General features: G+C 38.5%; 1 protein-coding gene and 1 long non-coding RNA gene across 9 annotated transcripts in view, besides 1 other annotated feature; one reads left to right on the forward strand and one right to left on the reverse strand.

The window, feature by feature from the left end:
* Window positions 1-1,293, reverse strand: part of LOC112268071 (uncharacterized) — a 57,527-nt gene extending 56,234 nt beyond the window's left edge. For 2 of the 7 annotated variants that reach the window (XR_002957231.2, XR_007062562.1), the window contains exons 1-2: window positions 1,032-1,293; window positions 73-174 (exon numbers count right to left, since the gene is read on the reverse strand). This is a non-coding gene — a long non-coding RNA (uncharacterized LOC112268071). The other 5 variants (XR_002957230.2, XR_002957234.2, XR_002957232.2 and 2 more) reach the window with 3 other exon arrangements.
* Window positions 79-1,278: an enhancer, noted in NCBI's record as "BRD4-independent group 4 enhancer chr11:5958637-5959836 (GRCh37/hg19 assembly coordinates)". NCBI's record gives its function as "activates an origin of replication core promoter dependent on BRD2, P300/CBP, MED14 and CDK7 cofactors, and independent of BRD4, by STARR-seq in HCT116 cells {active_cell/tissue: HCT116}" and the evidence as "EXISTENCE:reporter gene assay evidence [ECO:0000049][PMID:35650434]".
* Window positions 4,923-20,617, forward strand: part of OR56A3 (olfactory receptor family 56 subfamily A member 3) — a 79,760-nt gene continuing 64,065 nt past the window's right edge. The window contains exons 1-3 of one of the 2 annotated variants that reach the window (XM_047426926.1): window positions 4,923-5,046; window positions 7,478-7,754; window positions 9,983-11,434. In XM_047426926.1, the coding sequence (XP_047282882.1) occupies window positions 10,019-10,966 (948 nt within the window). In that variant the 5' untranslated portion in view covers window positions 4,923-5,046; window positions 7,478-7,754; window positions 9,983-10,018 and the 3' untranslated portion in view covers window positions 10,967-11,434. Of the gene's footprint in view, window positions 5,047-7,477; window positions 7,755-9,982; window positions 14,020-20,617 lie in introns of those variants that run through there. The other variant, NM_001003443.3, reaches the window with a different exon arrangement.

Genomic DNA, 20,617 nt, shown 5'->3' on the forward strand with positions numbered 1-20,617 from the left:
TTAGTGGCATCAGGGCTAGGAACAGGAGCCCTCACCCACTTAATCCAAACATCTCAGGATCTGTCTACTCACCTGCAGTTGGCCATTGAGGCATCGGCTGAGTCCCTGGCCTCCCTACAGCAACAGATGACTTCGGTAGCACAGGTCACGGCACAGAACAGGCGGGCCTTAGACCTGCTTACGGCAGAAAAAGGAGGGACATGTTTATTCTTACAGGAAGAATGCTGCTATTAACGAGTCAGGGGTAGTTGAGACTAATTTACAAACTTTAAAAAAGATCCAAGAGGAGTTAAAACACTCCTACGACCCTCTCCGCCCTGGTCCTTCCTGGTGGTTTTCACCCGTGGTTCAACAGATGCTCCCTTTCCTTATCCCAATTATAATTCTCTGTATAATACTGTGTTTTGCCCCAATCCTAGTACAGTTTCTCCGCCAGCGGATACAAGAAATCACCAGGGTCACTTTCAACCAGATGCTACTTCACCCTTATGTCCAACTGCCAACCTCTGATTTAGGCCCCCTCCCCAACGACGCCCCTTAACAGCAGGAAGTAGCCAGACGAATTCGTCGCCCCTTTTCTATAACCAAAAAGAGCTTGGACTGATTGGATCCCGGTGAAGACCCCAAGATCGCAGCCATCTTGGCTGCCCTGACTCAGCATTCCCGGATTCGCCAGTTCCCGCCATCCCAGCAGCCATCTTGGCTACCCTGACTTGGCATTTTCGCCTGTTCCCACCATTTATTCCCGCCATCCGGACAGCCACCTCGGATACCCTGACTCAGCATTTCCGGGTTCACCTTTCTTGTTCCCGCTGCCTCAGTGAACACGCATGCCCACTAAAGCACGTCACTAAGGCACGTCACTCATCTATATAAATGCGCTACACGTTTGGCACAGCGTGACTTCCCTGGCCTTCCCCCTGCGGACCAGTGAACCTCGCCCGAGAGCTCAATAAAGAAGATTTTTGCCCTCTTTGTCTCGCCTCTGGGCCTTATTGATCCACGGTGCCCTTCCATTGCCTTTCACTTACCGGGGTGACCCTTCCGGGACTCCGCTGGGATGTGGCGTCTCATCTGGAGCTCACCTCCTGAAGAGAAGCGTCCACAGCTTCACCGCCATGAAGGGAAAAAGGAGAGAGAGGCGGGGAGGGCCACGGAGTCCTGGTGGCACTCCGTGTTCCTTCACAAGTCTTTGTCCAGCGGGACAAGGTTTACAAGAAGCGCCAAGCTCTTCGCCAACCAAGTTCCTCCAGAGAAACTGAGAAGCGCGTTTGTGTTCCAGCAGAACGGAGTAAATTGCTTTGGGCTGTGTGTATTTAAAGGGGCAAGGAACGCAGTCTTCTGATTGGTGTGCGTCCGCTCGCCGTGTCCATGGTAACCAGCTAGCGCCCTGACCCGGCCCGGACCTCAGCTGCGGGGAGACTACCGGAAGCTAAGGAGAACAGCCCGCAGCCTACGCCGCGGGGCCCTGGTGACCGGTTTGGTTAGTCTCGGGCTCTCGAGTCTGCCAGGAGTCTAACAACGCAGTTCTCCTCTTCGGCGGTCTTAGGTTTCCTCTTCAATGGCACAGATTTTTGCCCATCTGTCCTTCTTTTTCTCCCTACCTTTAGTTCCTGTGATTCAGGTGCCTACAGCAGGGAGACCTGCCACGGCGCGCAGGTGATGTCTTGAGACATGGGGCTGGGGTCCAACAGAGTAAAGGCCAGGAATTTCTTTCTCCTGGTGATGAATAATTACTGGCCGCATTGATTGATAGCATATTCCATTCTAGACGCAGGACACACCTATGAAGTATGGTCTCTCTGATTAAATTTTATCAACGCATTGTGGTTAAGGAATGTGTCCAAGGTATAGACTGAGCAAAACCAAACAGGGACGGGGTCAGACCATGTCTTAACCATGCAGGCAGGTTGTGGGAACGAGCTTGAGAAGTACATTTCTGAGTGCCTTAGACCAGATTGCCTGGGAGGGGAATGAAATGAGGATGATGAGGCTGGAAGGTCAGGCTGAGATCACCTGGGCTCCTGATCCCACCATTCTAGACCTGATTTCCACGTGGCCCCAGGTATCCCTGAGATAGCTCACATGACTAGAATGTAGGAACGTGGTCCTGCCTCTCTTGGGAGGCAGTCTTGGCCTAGTCCCAAGGGCTCATTTGGAGAACAAGACAGATTTATACTTCACTGAGCACCACTAAGTAGCATTAGGCCCTTTCAGCATCTAACTTGAAGTGGTCACAGTGAGAAGTCTATATCCTGTTCTTTTCTCTGCTCAGGTGTTCTTGGGATTCTCTGGGTCCTCTGGCTCACAGCCTTACGCACCTGCTCTTCCCTTCACAGCCTAGGAGACCTGGTCTTCTCTGGGTCAGATGCCCATATCATACAGTAGGAATAGGGGCTGTTCGATTTCAGAATGATTCCATCAAATCCAAGACAACAAGTTAGCTTAATTTAGGTATACTCCAACATTGTCAAAGCCTATTCAATAGAAAATATGTAACTTGTTTGTGCAAGTCTTTCATAATTATTTTCATGCCATGTTTCCGTTTCAATCTTAATAATTTCTTGCTTCTGTGATAAGCTAAATCCTTCAAATCTTGGACCCCATAAGGTGTCAGAGACCAGGGCCAGGGCCCTGCTTTCCAAGGCCTAACAGGATCTGACTGTTGATTTCTATTCTGGTTATCTATTGGTGTCATCTAAAAATAAGCATTTATTATACTAATGAATTTGTGCATTGTGAATTCAGAAAGGGAACAGTGGGGAAATCTTGTCTGCACAACAGTGACTGGGTCATGAGCTGGGATGGATTGAATTACTGGATGTGACCGTGACAGCTACGCTGTACCGTGTACCTGTCAGCTGAATTTCTTGGTTCTAACTCGTGTGACATGTACTGCAGCTGGGATGTCCAATATAACTTTTTTACTCACATGTCTGAGATGGTTCAAACATCAGAGCATGACTGAGCAGAGGCCTCTCTTTGTGAGTCTTTTCCATATAGCTAACTGGGGCTTCATCACAGCAAAACTGTCTCAGTGCAGTCAGATATCCCCCTAAACAACTTAACTAAGAGATGCTGGTAGAAGCTACAAGGCCTCTTAGGAGCTTGTCTCAGAATTCAATCAGTTTCACTTCCAACACATTCTTTTAACCAAAAGTGAATCCAAGACTCATCTCAGATTGAAAATAAGGGGATCATACAAAGTATTGATTCCTCACTAGCATGCTACATTGGGGGCGGGCATCTTTTGAGATCAGCTACAACAAATACTGATGAGGTGAATTAAATTACTCTAAAAATTCTCATATTATTCAGCTTCTAGCCAAGATATGATGAAAGGGACTGAATTTGCTTTCCTAACTGACCTAAAACAAAACAAACCAAAAGTGGAATAAAATATAGTAAACAATGAGTTTCAAGACAGTAGACATCAGGCAAGTAAGGACAGTTATCCCTGAAATATGTGAAACAAATGAGGCAGGCCCTACAACTACCCCAGTTTTCTGTCTTCAAAGAGTTTCCAGGCTGCAGTGCAGGGAAGCAAGACCAAATGGAACTCAGTGGAGTCCCTAAGTGGAGGAGATGTAATTGGAGTACAGAAAGACCAAACCCGCTAAAGCTCGCAAGAAAGAATACTGGAGAAAAGAAAGCTGCACACAGAGAGAAGCCTGAAAACCTACAGAGGATCTTCCTCAAGTAATGAATGAATGTGTGCAGATGAGGACACTAACCAAGGTGGAGGAAGGGAGGAGGGCACCTAAAAGAATTAGTGAGAACAGTATCCAATCAACACACAGGGCCTGAAATAGTATCTGTTTCCACCGTCGAGAAAGGAAAGCATTATAATTCATAAGGCATTGGGGAAAATTCTCAAATGGTCTTTCTTAGTAGTGAACAGCAGTAAAAAATAATAAAGTCAACTTACACATAGCAACATGTATAAATTTGAAGATATAGCATTGATAGAAAAAGAATAACAGATTTACAACCCAGTGACAGTTATATAAATTCAATTTTAAAAGAATTTTTTCATAAATTAAGTATATCCCTGTATAAGCATACTGAAAATTAATTAGAAAGATATATTTTAAATCCACTGGAGTTTTCACTTTCCTAAAGGGAAGGGAAATAGGAGGAATGTTGGAAAATACAGGAAAAGAAATAAAGCAAAAGTCTTGAAGAAACTTATGATGCTTGTTTCCATTAGTTGATAAGTGTGAATAATTCATATAAGGTTCAAAATGAAAATAAAACCTAAAGGAAAAACATAGTTGCTAACTAATATTGGGTTATTTATAAATTCCATTTTTAAACCTCTCACCACAAAAAAAATTATTATAGGTCTTTTTTCTCTGAATATCACATTGCATTTTCTCAGTAAGATTTTGTTCAGTTTTCTCTTGCATTTTTATCATAATACCTTCATAAAAGTCATGATAGATTAACACCAATCCATTCAATAGCATGGTTTGGGCAGTGCCTATCAAACAAAACAAGCAGGAAGCCCACAAAAATTTCCATTCACTTATTGGATCCACAGAAGCTGCTCAGTGTGCATAGGCAGATGAATATGAACACAGATGGATGTGAACATAAGATCCCTGTACCCAGGAGACGTACTTACTGCCTACAGGACAAGCAGTCAGTGTAGCACTGGATTACCGGGGGTTTTTTGTCACAGAAAGAAAGAGAATAATTTTCTTCTCCCATCTAACTGCCTGTTTTTCCCAGGAGGACCTTTTGGTCCTACGGGAAGAGGGATTAAGAAGTTCCCAGAGGTCAGAGTTTCTGAGGCACTACAATTATAACTGCCCCAGATACTTCTGAAACTAACAAGAGCTCCAATATTAATGGAGCCAAACCCCATGCTTCACATTTTCTGTGAGTCTGGCTAGAGGATGTTAATGGTGGCTATACAAAGATTAGCCAGAAGACTAGAGAGATCTCTGTCTTCAGTCCCTATCTGTGCTCTTTTCCATTCCTGCGTCAATACTGCTGAAGTAGTCTGAGAAGGAAATAAATAAAGACTGCACCCTGTCTCAGGTAAAGAGGCTTATGTGCTCTGGGACCTTCTCTCTTTTGCCATCCTCTGGGTGCTTGGTGGTAGCAGAAATGCAGGAAAGTTGCAATTTGTCTATAGAAGATTAACAGGCAGTATGAGAGCTAAAAAGTGCATAATTTGGAGCCAAGTAAAGAAAATTTGGAGTTTTCAACTCTGAATATGGAAATTTAGTGGCTTGAAAACAAAGAATATGCCTACCAGTGTCTGAATTATAAAGTTAGAATTACATTAGTTTCTATAACTTCAGAGGTTGAAGACAAAGACCACAGTTCAGGACCAGTGGAAGTCAGGAAGTAGTTCAAAATATTTCTGATCAAAATTGCTAAAATCTACTTCTGACAAGAACAGAAAACTACGCCCAGAAGAGCAGCTAGCTACCTGTCACTGGATGCACTGAATAATATCTGAAACTACACCTGAGAGAGGTATCTTACAGGCCTGCCTGAATTTTACCAAGATAGAACCCTAGCAACTCTTTTACTTTTTAAAACAGGGTTTCTTTGGCACTATTCTGTGGGCCTATCTTGCAACCTGGGAAAGCCTAGGCTGATGGTCTCTCCTTTAGTCTTTGAGCTTCAACTTCTTTGGCTTTCTCATCTTGTTCCTGGCTGGAACTGGAAACCATTAGCTCCAGTTCCTAAGCCCTAGTGTGCCATTGGCAAGTTTTGATTACAAACCAAGATTGAATAATGAAAGGAGAAAAGGAGCAAATGTGTTTCCAGATGCTTTACTTCTAGGGATGAGTACTTTATTGATGCTTGTTGAATGATTGAAAAACATGCAGAAACATTAGAGAAAATAGAAGGAAAAAGGAAAAGTCAGTGAGTTAGAAAAATAAAATAATCCTCCCATGTAATCCTCAGAAATTTCATCTTAGTGCTAAAAATAATTATCCCAAAGCTCTTCAAGAGACAGAAAATATACTTTTTCCTCTAGGCTTCTCTATGGATACTCATGCCTAAGTCACTAGATCTTCCATTTGGCTCTACCCTGCAAAGGTCATTTCAAGATTTTCTCTACTTCCAAGCACAAAACATTTAATTCCTTCTAGGAGTCCTTTGTGACCCCTGGAGAAGAAAAGCTACTTGGAAAGGTAAGATTTGGGGCTGTGATTTTCTTTAAAAAAAAAAAAAAAAAAACCACCTTATTTGCTTCAGGTTTTTTAAAATAAAATAAAACATTTCTGAAGTTTAAGTCCCCTTCATACACTGCAAAAGGCTCCTAGAACAGATAAAGGACTCCAGGATACAAAATCAATGTACAAAACTTAGTAGCATTTCTGTACGCCAATAAAGTTCAAGCTAAGAGCTGAATCAAGAATGCAATCCTAGTTACAAGTGCCACAAAAAGAATAAAATACCTGAGAATACAACTAACCAAGAGGCTGTGATTTTTAACTGTAAAAATTTTGCAGAAAGTAGGATCAGAGGATGCAATGAGCAAAGGAATAAATGACAAGAAAGTAATGCAGAAGATAGTGTTTAAAGGGAATATGTGGAATTTAACAGCCTATAGTTGTACTTGCTGTGGGTGCAAAGTTAATTGGGGTTGGGTCAATTATGCCAAGTTCTAGGCTTAGAAGGTCTTACTGGTTTTTGTTCCACACTTACAAGTTAATGTATTCAAAGACAGAGAAGGAAAAGAAGTGAATGAACATAGTGCCCAGGGCATGAAGAAGGGTCGTTAGTCACCAACTGGAGGCTGGAAGTTTTGTTCTAGGGGTTATTATCTTGAGGACCTCCTGTAACTCCAGTATGTCTTACTCTCAGTGAGCCACTCTATCAAGGAAAATGGCAAAAATATTAGAAAAGAGAAAGTAAGATTGGAGGGTGGCAGGTATGAAGTGCATAGAGAATGATTTTATAATCTTTATTTAACCTTGAAGGGGTTGTTCCTTAAGAGTCAAAACCAGGAATACAATAAAAGACACAATACAAAAGGGGAATAAGGAGGGAATTGGAGCCTATGAGCTGTGGGAAGCAGGAGTCGGAGTTGCAAGAGGAAGGAAGAGGGAGAATCTCCAGACTGCTGAAAAACAGCCCTTAGAATTGTATGTGTATGGAGAGTGTGGGTGGAAAAGAAAAACCTACAAAATATATAAAACAAAATCCCAAATAACATAAACATGTATGCATCACTATGGTGACACAGGGCACAGGCGTATTCCTATTTTCACTGGCTTGGACCTGAATGAATTATTTAGACCTTTATTTTCTCCACAGCTGAACCCTGAGAAACTGTAGGAAGACATGTAAAACCACTAAAATATGATTTGCCTATGTGAAAGATAACTGCTAAAATAATCAACTTACCCTACCTACTTCAAAGTATTATGAATCACAAATGAAACGGTATGTTTAAAATTCATTTTGAACTTATCAGGTCATTACTAATATACCCTATTATTTACAGGAGAAAAGAATTGGGAGAATATCTAAATCTCTTCTATATATGAGGTGAAGGGCCATGCCTGGCAGACTACATGGGGAATCAGAGGATCAAGAGGAGTGAAGAGAGGATCCCTGGAGGAATGCCCGTCCTCCCTCCACTGACAGCAGCCACAGTTACTAACAGGGTCTTTCTGATGAGGAGAATCTGACAGGACCCAGTTGAGCAAGGACTGGAACTGCTTTTGGGGAATAGGAAAGACAACTGAAAACAAAAAGCCTACCTGAACCTCTTCCAAAAAGTATGTTTCCATCAGTAGGAAAATATCATACAGTTTGGAGTTCACAGTTTAATTATAACTTCCTTCCTTGTCACCCTGTCCCTACCCCAAAACTTTTTTCCTCGACAGATTCAATTCTTAAAACTATCAATTGTGTTTTGGGTAAAGTTTGTTTTCTTTTTTATAGGATCAGTGGGGCAAATACGTATAATAGAGTTATTTATTGGGTTTGGCCGGGCACGGTGGCTCACACCTGTAATCCCAGCACTTTGGGAGGCTGAGGTGGGTGGATCTCGAGGTCAGGAGATCGAGACCATCCTGGCCAACATGGTGAAACCCCATCTCTACTACAACCACAAAAACAAACAAAATTAACTGGGTGTGGTGGCGTGTGCCTGTAATCCCAGCTACTCTGGAGGCTGAGGCGGGAGAATCGCTTGAACCTGGGAGGCGGAGGTTGCAGTGAGCAGAGATCACGCCATTGCACTCCAGTCTGGCAACAGAGCTAGACCCCATATAAAAAAAAAAAAAAAAAAAAAAAATTATTTCTTGGGTCTGAAGGAACCCTAGAAATTAATCCAACCCAACCTCTATATTAGGTAAGATTAGGATTAGAATAATAACATATGGGCAGTTAAGAACCTGGATTTTGAAATATCACTTCCCTTGTTTGTAAGTGGTGATAATGAAACATATTTCACAGAATGTTGAATAACTAAATGGGATGAAGTGCTAAAACAGAGCACAGTTCCCAGCAAGTAGAAAGAATTACAAAAATAACCATATAATTTTGTTATATTAGTGAGCCAAAGTGTGAGAAACAGGGCATTTCTTAAACATTTGATGAAAAGGAATTTCACACACTTGATCTTAGCCAAAAGGCTGAGAAGCGATAGAAAGGAATTTTTAAACCTACAAAATAACATCTGAACAGAAACCTCTGTCCCAGTAGACAGAAATATGCACAATAAAACTGCATGATTTGGAGGGCCCCCTGAAGACCTGACCTACACCCTTGCCAAGCTACAGTGTTCTTTCTATGGGCTGTCTTTCACAATGCAGGGGAGGGGAATCTTAGAATCCTTTACCTTTAATGTAAATGTGGGTACCACATCACCCTATTTATAATGATATTTTTCCAGCCTATCCCCTATGTCACACTCAACTCTCCTCTGCAGTCTCCTAATAATTTGTGCATATCTCTGACATTGCTCATATCATTCATTCTCGTTACACCCATCATCTCCCAGAGTAGTTATAGGTTTGTTTTAGTGAAAATAAGGACAGTTTCTTATTAAATTTTGTGATGCTGGTACCTAACAGAATGCCAGGGAAGAGGGTTAAATGATAAGGGAATAATGGCAACACTGAACTACTGTCAGGAGAGAGGGAAATGTGTGGCTATATCATTACAGTCAAGATGGAAAAGGAAACTGGAAGGAGACGGAAGGACTTTAAAGGTGAACTTCGTCACCCTCACACAATTACAATAAGAAGAACCAATTTTTCATCATGTCTAATGACAAGCATTTCTCCCTGTTAGCTATGTGGAAGTGCCCACTCTCCTTTTAAAGCTGTTTCTCCCAAAAGTTAGGAAGCCTAAAAATATGAACATCTAAAAAATAGAGAGATATTAAGGCAATTATTTGGTGGAACCTATGCCTACTAAATAAAAATGAACTTTTAGACAAAATACAAGTTAACTAAATTTATTTTAGATGTATGATTTAAAAAATCTCTAAGCAAAATAAGTGCAGCAGAAAGGTTAGAATAAGGATGTCATGGGGACATGGGGACTAGGGACATTTATCTGAGTCCCTTCCTTGTGCCAGGCTCTGCTATTTATTTGAGCTTATTGCAATAGTCAACTTGTAGATATGGTAGGCTATGTGTACATTAAAAAGAAAATTGTGAAGAAGAAACCTATGGGTAGAAATTTAGAGTCTCACCTGTCACACTAAAGTTGTTTCCTAAGTGTTTTCTCCTTTTTAGTTTCTCTAAAAAAAACAATTCTATTGAAAATGGACATTGAATAAAGTAAACATGTATAGAGGAATCATGTCACCTCAGACAGCTGTACTGTTTAAAGTGATAGGAATACCCCAGTGACATGACACTGAGGAAAAACAGATGAATTCGCTTGGCTCTACATAACCTGCTAGAAACCACAAGTTGTACCTATGACAAACAAATTGTGCTATCTTTGTGTATCAAGAATCCACAGCTAGTTTGTAATCATAATTTTCCAGATCACTGAAAGAAAGCAGTAAAATATATGGGAAAATATGACAACACACCGAAATGACACCCTCTCCACTGAAGCTTCAGACTTCCTCTTGAATTGTTTTGTCAGATCCCCCAGCTGGCAGCACTGGCTGTCCCTGCCCCTCAGCCTCCTTTTCCTCTTGGCCGTAGGGGCCAACACCACCCTCCTGATGACCATCTGGCTGGAGGCCTCTCTGCACCAGCCCCTGTACTACCTGCTCAGCCTCCTCTCCCTGCTGGACATCGTGCTCTGCCTCACTGTCATCCCCAAGGTCCTGACCATCTTCTGGTTTGACCTCAGGCCCATCAGCTTCCCTGCCTGCTTCCTCCAGATGTACATCATGAATTGTTTCCTAGCCATGGAGTCTTGCACATTCATGGTCATGGCCTATGATCGTTATGTAGCCATCTGCCACCCACTGAGATATCCATCAATCATCACTGATCACTTTGTAGTCAAGGCTGCCATGTTTATTTTGACCAGAAATGTGCTTATGACTCTGCCCATCCCCATCCTTTCAGCACAACTCCGTTATTGTGGAAGAAATGTCATTGAGAACTGCATCTGTGCCAATATGTCTGTTTCCAGACTCTCCTGCGATGATGTCACCATCAATCACCTTTACCAATTTGCTGGAGGCTGGACTCTGCTAGGATCTGACCTCATCCTTATCTTCCTCTCCTACACCTTCATTCTGCGAGCTGTGCTGAGACTCAAGGCAGAGGGTGCCGTGGCAAAGGCCCTAAGCACATGTGGCTCCCACTTCATGCTCATCCTCTTCTTCAGCACCATCCTTCTGGTTTTTGTCCTCACACATGTGGCTAAGAAGAAAGTCTCCCCTGATGTGCCAGTCTTGCTCAATGTTCTCCACCATGTCATTCCTGCAGCCCTTAACCCCATCATTTACGGGGTGAGAACCCAAGAAATTAAGCAGGGAATGCAGAGGTTGTTGAAGAAAGGGTGCTAACAAGGACCACTGGATCTCTGAATATCTAAAATAAGATAATTTATTAATCACTTAATGAGTGAGTGGGCTGAAATTCATATCTGTGACTTATAACCTCAAACTGGGTACACTAGATATTGTGTGTGCTTTTCAAAAACATCGGTTTTAATTTAAGTCTATCTTCCTTTTCACCCTTTTCTCAGAAATATTCTTGGCCCTCTCTCGTTTTATTCCATGCTTATAATCATATTTTGTCCAAAACACTGACATTCCTTAAAGCAGATTTTAAAGTGAAAAATGTATGTTTCTGAACACACAACTCAATATGTCATGAATTTTGTATCATTAAAAATACAACTGCGGTTATTTTGTTGTGTCTGTTATGTGTAATGTCCTTTTATTCTTATTTTCAGAAAAGGGAATACATTGGAGAAAAAAACACAGTAGTTGAAATTTCAGTCCTCAGTGGTGGAAAGTTGCTACTGGTCTGTAAGTAGGTCTTTTTCTCTCACCCTTCAACCACATCATTGCCTTTCTCTAGTTCTCTTTCTCCCCTCACCTCCTCTCTCTCCCTCTCCTTCTCTTTCTCTGGAAGACAAGTAAATTTTTGTAATGTGCATTGCAAGAGGGCAAGGGTTTTGCCTTGATTCCTCATGAGTAACAATTATCAATGAGTTTTACTGGATATATGAGATTCTTGAATCCTCTTCCCCAATGTGTCTGTGCTTAGAACATTTATCTTTCAGATCCAATATATCACAGGTTTTGATATGCAAACAAATCTTTATTAATGAGTCAAAAGATTGCTGGTATTAGAGCATACAATCTAGCAATAATATTGACACCTAAAATACTTTTCCTGAACATTATTTTCTCATTAATTGGACAGCTTCTAAGCACACATGGTGTCCTGTGAATTATGTTAGCTATTAAGAAACAAAAATAAAAAGAATATTGTTGTTGATTTGAGGACCTCAAAGTTTGGGTAGGAAAAATACAAATATGCACTCCAGAACACATTCTTCTAAACTGTAGAGCAGTGAGGAATGGGATAAAAGATATGTATGGGCAGTAAGATACTTGGTCCTGTAAGGAAACATTAGATAAAGAGAAGGTCTGGGCAGTAGGCCTTGCACAGCCACACACCCACATGCACACACATACATACCCACAGCATAAAAGTTGTGTCCCGCCTGGGAAGAAATCAAATAAGAGAATTCACTGTGTTTCCCATTATTCATCCAATACCTGATAATAGTGAGCGATTTGTTTTAGAATATTCTTCTAAATACAAGATTCTGTGCTTCAGTAACAACTTACAAGTATGTGTTACTTTGTTTTGACCATACAAGGAAAATTTCTCAAGTATCAAATACCAAGACTGTCCCAAATGTCCGAATGTTTTAAATTTAACTGAAAGCATCTGAGATTAAGCCCTGTCCTACTCAAGCAGAATTCCGCAGAGCTCTCTCCGTTCATTTCTCTTCTCCATCTTGCAAAAAAAATGATAAATTAGTATTTAATTCCTGGATATCCTGGAATTGAAACCTACTGATTGAAAAATAAGCATGTACCACATATAAGAAGCAATAGTTAAAAGCATATAATCAATAATTTAATTAGAAATTTCTCAAAAGTGAAAAGCCATCTGTTAAGATCCGAGTAGATACACCTTTTTCTTTATTACTCAAAGAAGAAGGACTCTCTAAAATCTCATTCTCTCATACATTTCAACATAAGAAAAATGGCTTGACTTGAAATGTGAATAACCGTATACCATGGAAGAATCTTACAATTATAAAGATATAACATGCTTGTAAGGTAAATTTAAGCCACCACCTCTTAGGAAATATTAAAAATCTGAAAGTTTTAACAATATGCTATATTAACATATACTTATCAAAACACCAAAACTTTGAGGACTAGTTATTTTCAAGATCACATCGTTTGTATGACAAATCCAGATGTCTACAGTAAGCTGTTAGAAGATAACCTTGGGTGCCAGGAAAAGGACATATTGAGGGATTTAGAGTACATACCTCCCTGAGATTAAGAAAATTTTCCATAAGTCTTGTCTTCCCAAAGAACATGGTAAAAAGTTCATATTTTAAAAGTATTTGCCTGAAAAATCTGTTTTGCTTCACTTATATGTAATTTTTAGACATTTATAAACAATGTCAAAACAATATCGGCATATATTTATTTGAAAAACAAGGTGAACAAGTTAACTATGGTTTTATCTCACCAAAATAGGTAATATTAGTGAGGATTTCCTCTAGAACTGTGCTGTGCAATATGAACCACATACTTAATTTTAAACTTTTTAGTACACATGTTGAAAAAGTAGAAACAGACAAAATTAGTTCTAATAAGATATTTTATTTAGTCCAACATATCCAAAATATTATCATTTCAACACATAACAAATACAAGATAATCATTAATGTGATATTGCACATTCCTTTTCTGTACTAAGTCTTTGAAACACCCTGAGTATTTTACACTTAACATACATTTTAATTCAGACTACCCAGATTCCAAGCATTCAATAGCCACGTGAGGCTAGTGACTATGGTATTAATCAGTACTACTCTAGAAATTTTGCTTTGAAAGTCAGATATGGATAGAAAATAAAGTTAATTAGAAAATATGTATTCTTCTTGAAATACATCTTATAATACAGTTATATTTATATTATTTTGTTTTGGCTATAATTTTTCTTTTTTATATGTTTTGCCAAGGAAGTCAGGGTTTTAGAGGAGAGTAAAGTTTTTTTTGTTAATGCTGCAATAACATGAGTGCTAAATCTTGGAAACCAAGGTGAGAAGATTTATTTTTAAAAGAAGTTTTAGTTACTGGGTTTTTAAGACATATGGTCCTGAAATCCCACAGTGACAGACTTGAAGAAGAGTTAAACTTAAGATCCTAAGGAAGAATGTAAATGGGTATTTACTCATAACAAGTAAGGAATATTAGCATTAGAGTAATCGACAGACATTAATACGTTAAAGGTTTATCAGAAGGTAAATGATAAACATTATTTGTAATTCATTAAATTTTTCTTTACATCATTTACACACACATAGATCTGAGTATTTGAAACTATTTAACTATTTTTTGCTGTGTTCTTTTAATAAAATGTATTTTATATGAAAAGTTTAATAGTGAGATTGTTATAGTATATTATAAATATATATAAATAAAACATGAGTGAGAAAGCTGTCTCTTCAAACCAAATAGGTGTTATTCATAAAATGTTGAAACTCAGATTGTGCTGGTGAGACCTTGCATTTTCCCACACATTACTCATAATTAAGTTTTTTCTCCTGTATCCAGAAAAAGCAAGCAGATATTTGAGAGGGCAGGCCCAGCTGATGCTAGTCACTGGGTCAAAAAGCAAAGCAAAACACAGACAGAGGATGGCAGTGGCCCTTCAGCTCAACATTTAACACCATATGTATTTATCAAAAATACGCATTCACACTTAATGTAGGAAACTCCTTATTATGGTGCTGGGGTTGTAGTAAATAGGTAAGATATGCAAGGTCTCTTTATATATTCTGGTGGGAAATAAATACATAATAAATAGGTAATCAAAAAGTAAGGTAATTTTAGAAAATGTTATGAAGAAAATAGTACAGGATTGTGCATTAAGGAATGATTTGAGATGAAGGACGGAAAGTAATTTAGATGATGTGATTAGCATAAATCTCTTGATTTGATTAATTTGAAATAAGATAATGAAAAAAGAAAATAAGCCACTATTTGAGAATATAGATATGTTCCAAGTGGAACTTATATAATACATCAACTGCAAACATAATGCATAAAATAACACATAATTACATTAAAACATATATAGTAACTGTGAAGCCTCTGAACCTAGAATAAACAGAAACAGTAAAAAATGTCAACAATTTGAAAGTACACAGCCATGGAGAATCTAAGGCAGAGGTGCAAGGCGGTTGCCACTTGGCAGAAAGGTAGACCCAAATCTAGAATAGTGGAAGGTGTAGGAAGAATATTATAACAGGAACTCACTTTTGAGCCAAAGCAGGAACAGAATCCTATAAGCTGAAAACATACAGAAGAGATTGAGGCTGAAAAACAGAAAGCCCTTCATCAGAAAGAAGGACAATCCAGAGAAAATATATCACAAATTATTCTAGTAGAAATTATGATTCAATACTAAGACATTCACTTTCCAAAATATCAATCAAATAATTACATTATTATTGTTTGTTGTGTTTTTCTCAACTTTTATTTTAGATTCAGGGGGTACATGTAGGAAACTCATTATTATGGTGGGGGGGTTGTAGTAAATAGGTAAGATATGCAAGGCCTATGTATATATTCTAGTGAGAAATAAATAATAAATAAGTAATAAAAATAGGTAATTTTAGAAAATGTTGTGCCAGGTTTGTCACCTGGGCATATTGAATGATGCTGGACTTTAGAGTGCCAATGATTCTGCCACCCAGATCCTGAGCACAGTGCCCAACAGTTTGTTTTCAACATATATCCCTTTCCCTCTCTTCCACCTCTAGTAGTCACCAGTGTCTATTGCTGCCATCTTTAGGTCCATGAGTATCCAATGTTTAGCCTCCATTTATAAGTGAAAGCATGCAGTATTAGGTTTTGTGTTCCTGTGTTAATTTACTTAGGATAATGGTCTCCAGTTGCATCCATCTTGCTGCAAAGGACAAGATTTCATTCTTTTCTATGGCTGCATAGTATTCTAAGGTGTATATGTACCACATTGTCTTTATCCAGTCCACCATTGATGGGCACCTAGGCTGATTCTATGTTTTTGCTATTGCGAATAGTGCTGCGATAAATGTGCAAGTGCATATCTTCATGGTAGAACAATTTGTTTTCTTTGGGATAAATACCCAGTAATGGGATTGCTGAGTTGGATGGTAATTCTGTTTTAAGCTCTTTAAGAAATCTCCAAACTGCTTTCTACAGTGGCTGAACTAATTTACATTCCCACCAACAGCTTATATGCATTTCCCTTTCACTGCAGCCTTGCCAATACCTGTTGTTTTTTTGACTTAACAACAGCCATTCTGACTGATGTGAGATGCTATCTCACTGTGGATTTGATTTTCATTTCTCTTGATGATTACTGATGTTGAGCATTTTTTCATACTTTGCTGGACATTTGTATGTCTTCTTTTGAAAAGTGTCTGCTCATGTCTTTTGCCCATCTTAATAGAGTTCCAAGTAATTAAATTATTACTCTAGCATTCCTAGGTTAAGTGCCATATGATTGAAAGCTGACACCATTGGTAGAAGATCAGTAGATCTGGCTGCATACTGTAGATCCTAGGTAAAGAGTACAGACCCAAATCCAGGACCAGGACACATTGTTCTTTCAGTGAGAGCTTTAAAACTTCCCTGTCATTGACATAGTACTTATTTATATTTTACTTTTTCCATAAATTTAAATCATTAATGTCATTAACTCTATTTTGTATTTATGAAGATAAGTTTACTTGTAGTGCTATATTATTTTAATAAATGTTTTTATTCTTATAAAAGCTATACTACCTTTATATCAAGATTTCATAATCCAGATGGTGTTTATTAGAAGCAAAAGTGCTTGTGAGAGATGGGGGGGACTCATTGATTAATTAATTAATTGACTGAAACTTTCTTCTGTAATAAGCACTATATCAAAGTTGCAGGGGAAAAAAGGTGAATTAAACACAGTCCTGGCCGCAAAGAGCTCAAAATATAGTGAGAAAAGGGGCATCAGGACAGACAAATGTGGATTTTGGAACCTGTGCTATTGAACCAAAGCTTACTCATTAAAGAGATGGTCAAGTTGATCATTGGTAAGCCCCAGAACTAACTCTTTAATTGCATTATTGCTTAGGGAAAACAATGATAAAGTGTGTGTGAGAACCAGCACAACTAAAAGACTTGTTTATGCCTTGCATTTTGGTCTTCAAGTCACCCTATTTAATTATCCCAAATCTTGTAAGACTGTGCCTTTTTATCTCTCTTGATCACTTTTATTTGAGGAAAAATCAAATGTACCTCTGACTAAGGCTCAGATCTTATCCCACAATCCAGGGCTAGGAACACAGATTTGCTGTTTTGTCATTGTTATTTATTGCTAGAGAGAAAGGTTAATGGAATGAAATAAGGTGGTTGAGTCCTGGGGAGTTAAAGTGTGAAAATAGAGCTGGAATTATACTTTCAAAGTCTGCAAGTTTGAATTGAATAATTTAGTAATATTTGTTCCCTTATAAGTTGATCATTTTTTTAAATAAAATTCATATTGTCTTTTTAAATAATGTTTTCATTGGAAAGTGGGATCATACTGGCAATATTAATATTTTTGCAAGAATATTAATTCTTAAAATTGCATTAAAATTAATTATTTCCAACCTTAACAAAGTAACTGGTACCAAATTTTCACTTCAACCAGAAAGAAATAGGAAATTAAACAGAAAGTATGAAACAATTGTTCCAAGAACTGGAACAACATACAGCCCTAGATTTCTCCTAAAGGAACTTTCCTGATCCTAATTGCAAGGAAAGCAGAAGGTAGAAGAGAGCATAAAAGTCTTCCCAAGTTTCAAGAAAGACAGCAGATCTTGGGGACATTGAAGAAGTTGGAATTTGTAAAGCAAAACAGCAAAGAAGAGGGAGCTACACAAAAAAGGACTCCAAAGATACAAAGGGGTACCATTTAGTCTTTGAATGAATGATAACATGCATCATAAGCTGCAAATATACAGGAATAAAGAACAATCACTGGGGAAAGAATGATTAATGGGGACCTTAAACAATTCTGAAAACATATGCAGGGCCAGAATGTGTTTAATCTTGGAACAGTCATAGTGGAGAGACCATACTGAATACCTGGGGCATTCAGTAGAATTGCTGAAGTGGCCATTAATCTGTAGTAGTATGTAACTAGCACTGGAATAAAAGCTAATCTACATAAAAAGTAAAAAGATTAAAATCAAGACTTGAAAGAAACAAGCTGATCAGCTTGTAACTTATGATTTTCCAAGACAAACTTCCAACACTCTAAAGGAAAACAACTAAATGTAGACACCCAACAATGTAAAATTTCTTATTATTAGCAGTGGAGAATCTGTATGGGTCTACAGCAACCTGAATTCTTTCCTCCTCAGAAGAAAGAATTCAGCTGAGGGGCATAAGGCAGAATGAGAGACTGAGGCAAGTTTTAGAGCAGGAGTGAATGTTTATTAAAAAGTTTAGAGCAGGAATGAAAGGAAGTAAAGTACACTTGGAAGAGGGTCAAGCGGGCACCTTGGGAGATTAAGTGCACAGTTTGGCCTTTGACTTGCAGTTGTATACATTGGCATGCTTCTGGGGGGTTACATTCCTTCTCCCCTGGTTCTTCCCTTGGGATGGGCTGTCTGCATGCACCAGTGGCCAGGCAGCTCTACTAACAGATGTACCGTAGTTCTTGAAACATAATTTTTCTCTTTTCACTCTTCATTTTTATTAAAAACAAATTATGATAAGATGATTTGATTGCAAAATAAGCTCTAGTCTTGTTATACTTGGTCTGATTATTTGGATAAAGCACAGCAAGAATAATTATTTGCCATATAGCCTCCTTTTTAACCCTTTTCCCATTTGCCCTACGAATACTTGCTGGCAGCACTTGCAGCTGCAGCGTTTACCCCAAAATAACTTTGCCATAAAATACCTCACTTTTATTATTATTTTCACATCACTCTAGTATATCAACTGTGGAAACAAAAGACATTATTCTATTTATAGCATTCTGTTTTAATAGAGGTATTTCCATTTACACAATGCAGTAATTCTCGATCATAGAAAATGTCAAATCCTAGAAAACATAGCATTCTTATGCATGATGTTATCATTCTCGAACAATTGTTGGCCAAAGATGTATTTGATGAATCCAATTTTTCTGAAATATAATGATTCTGATGATTCAGAAGATTATGATGTTAGTTCTATTTAGAAATAACTCTAAGAACAGATTTTATATTTTATTTTCACATTAAAAATCAATCAGATTTGCTTCAGCTTCAAAGAGTGTGTTTATGTAAAATTAAATGAGTACTGGCAGTCTCCTCTCTAGGTGTAGATCTGAGCTGCACTTTACATGTTTTGGGTTGACTCACAGACATCCTAACACAATTATGTCTTTCTCACGTCAGTGTCTTTGAGTCCTGAAAGACCAATATCTAGGGAGTGCATTCTGTTATACAAGCAATGAAACAACAACTATAAAACAAAGTATTATTTCTGCTAAGCCTTTAAATAGGTGTTTCACAGAGGTGCCTATACAATGTTTTCTCCAAGCTAATGTCTTATTAAGTTCATTGTTGAGAAGCCAATGTGACTCCTCAACTTCTCACTGCTTTATGCTCATGTTTGGAGTTCACAAAATTTCACAATCACAGTATTGCTTCTCCCATAGGTCAAAAGATACAAAGATGTTTTGGGTTTCCTGTCCTCGTGATCTCCACTTTCTGAAATATTGTACCTGCACAAACATACCTACCTGCCTAAGCCTACACATATTTCTACACACTTCCAAAAATGAAGGAGATGTGTGTATATTTAAATATAAAGAGAGGCCTGGCGCGGTGTCTCACGCCTGTAATCCCAGCACTTTGGGAGGCCGAGGCAGGCAATTCCCTGAGGTCAGGAGTTCGAGACCAGCCTGACCAACACGGTGAAACTCATCTCCACTAAAAATAAAAAATTAGCCAGACATGGTGGCTTATGCCTGTAATACCAGCTACTCAGGAGGTTGAGGCAGGAGAATCGCTTGAACCTGGGAGAGATTGCAGTGAGCTGAGATCGCACAATTCCATTCCAGCCTGGGTAACAAAAGTGAAACTGCATCTCAAAAATAAATAAATAAATAAATAGAGAAAGACAAATTAGTGGCTTATAGCACTTCTCACAGAGTATCTTAAAACTTTATGCACTGGAGTGTTTAACAGAAGAATATCAAATATTTAGGAGTCTATCCTACTATAACTTATACTGCTGCCACATTGTTATACTGTATACATCATTCCATGTGTCATTCTATTCTCCCATTCTACTGCATTTTATACTTTCTTAATCTATCTCATAAGCATTTACTAAAAATCTTTTATGTTTTGTTATTTTTCTTGACTCAGTATAAAATTAAACAGTGAGTGAAAACATATAGGGGAATAGCTTCCTATTCCCCGGTGATGTGGTTTCTCCACTATCTTGTAACTTAATAGAATTTACAAGATAACGGAGAAAGCACATCATTGGAGAATAGGAAACTATTTAGAAAAGGACATGAGCAATATACCTCTTGCAGAGCTCTGAAGCCCGCAAGATTCTAAATGAGACATTGCTAAAACTTACTCAGGCTACCACTGGAATTTTAATTCCAGAAAGTGTTTTCCATATGGGCCCAAATAAGAGTTGCAAATAAGTGAAAGAAACATTTTTTTAAAGATTTTTAAAACTTTTTTTTAAAGAGAAGCAGGTTTTCTCTTCCAAGTGCTAGAAGACAGTTTCTTGTCACTAGTGGGATTTAAGCAAATCTTGGATATCTATTTAGCAAAGAATCCTTAGAGAAAATTCCAAGAGAGTTCTAGATTTGATGAGTTTTAAAAGTCCTATAAATATGAAATTCTAGTTATCCAGAAATCAGAA

This window comes from Homo sapiens, chromosome 11 (assembly GCF_000001405.40).
Source record: "Homo sapiens chromosome 11, GRCh38.p14 Primary Assembly".
NCBI classification, from domain to species: domain Eukaryota; kingdom Metazoa; phylum Chordata; class Mammalia; order Primates; family Hominidae; genus Homo; species Homo sapiens.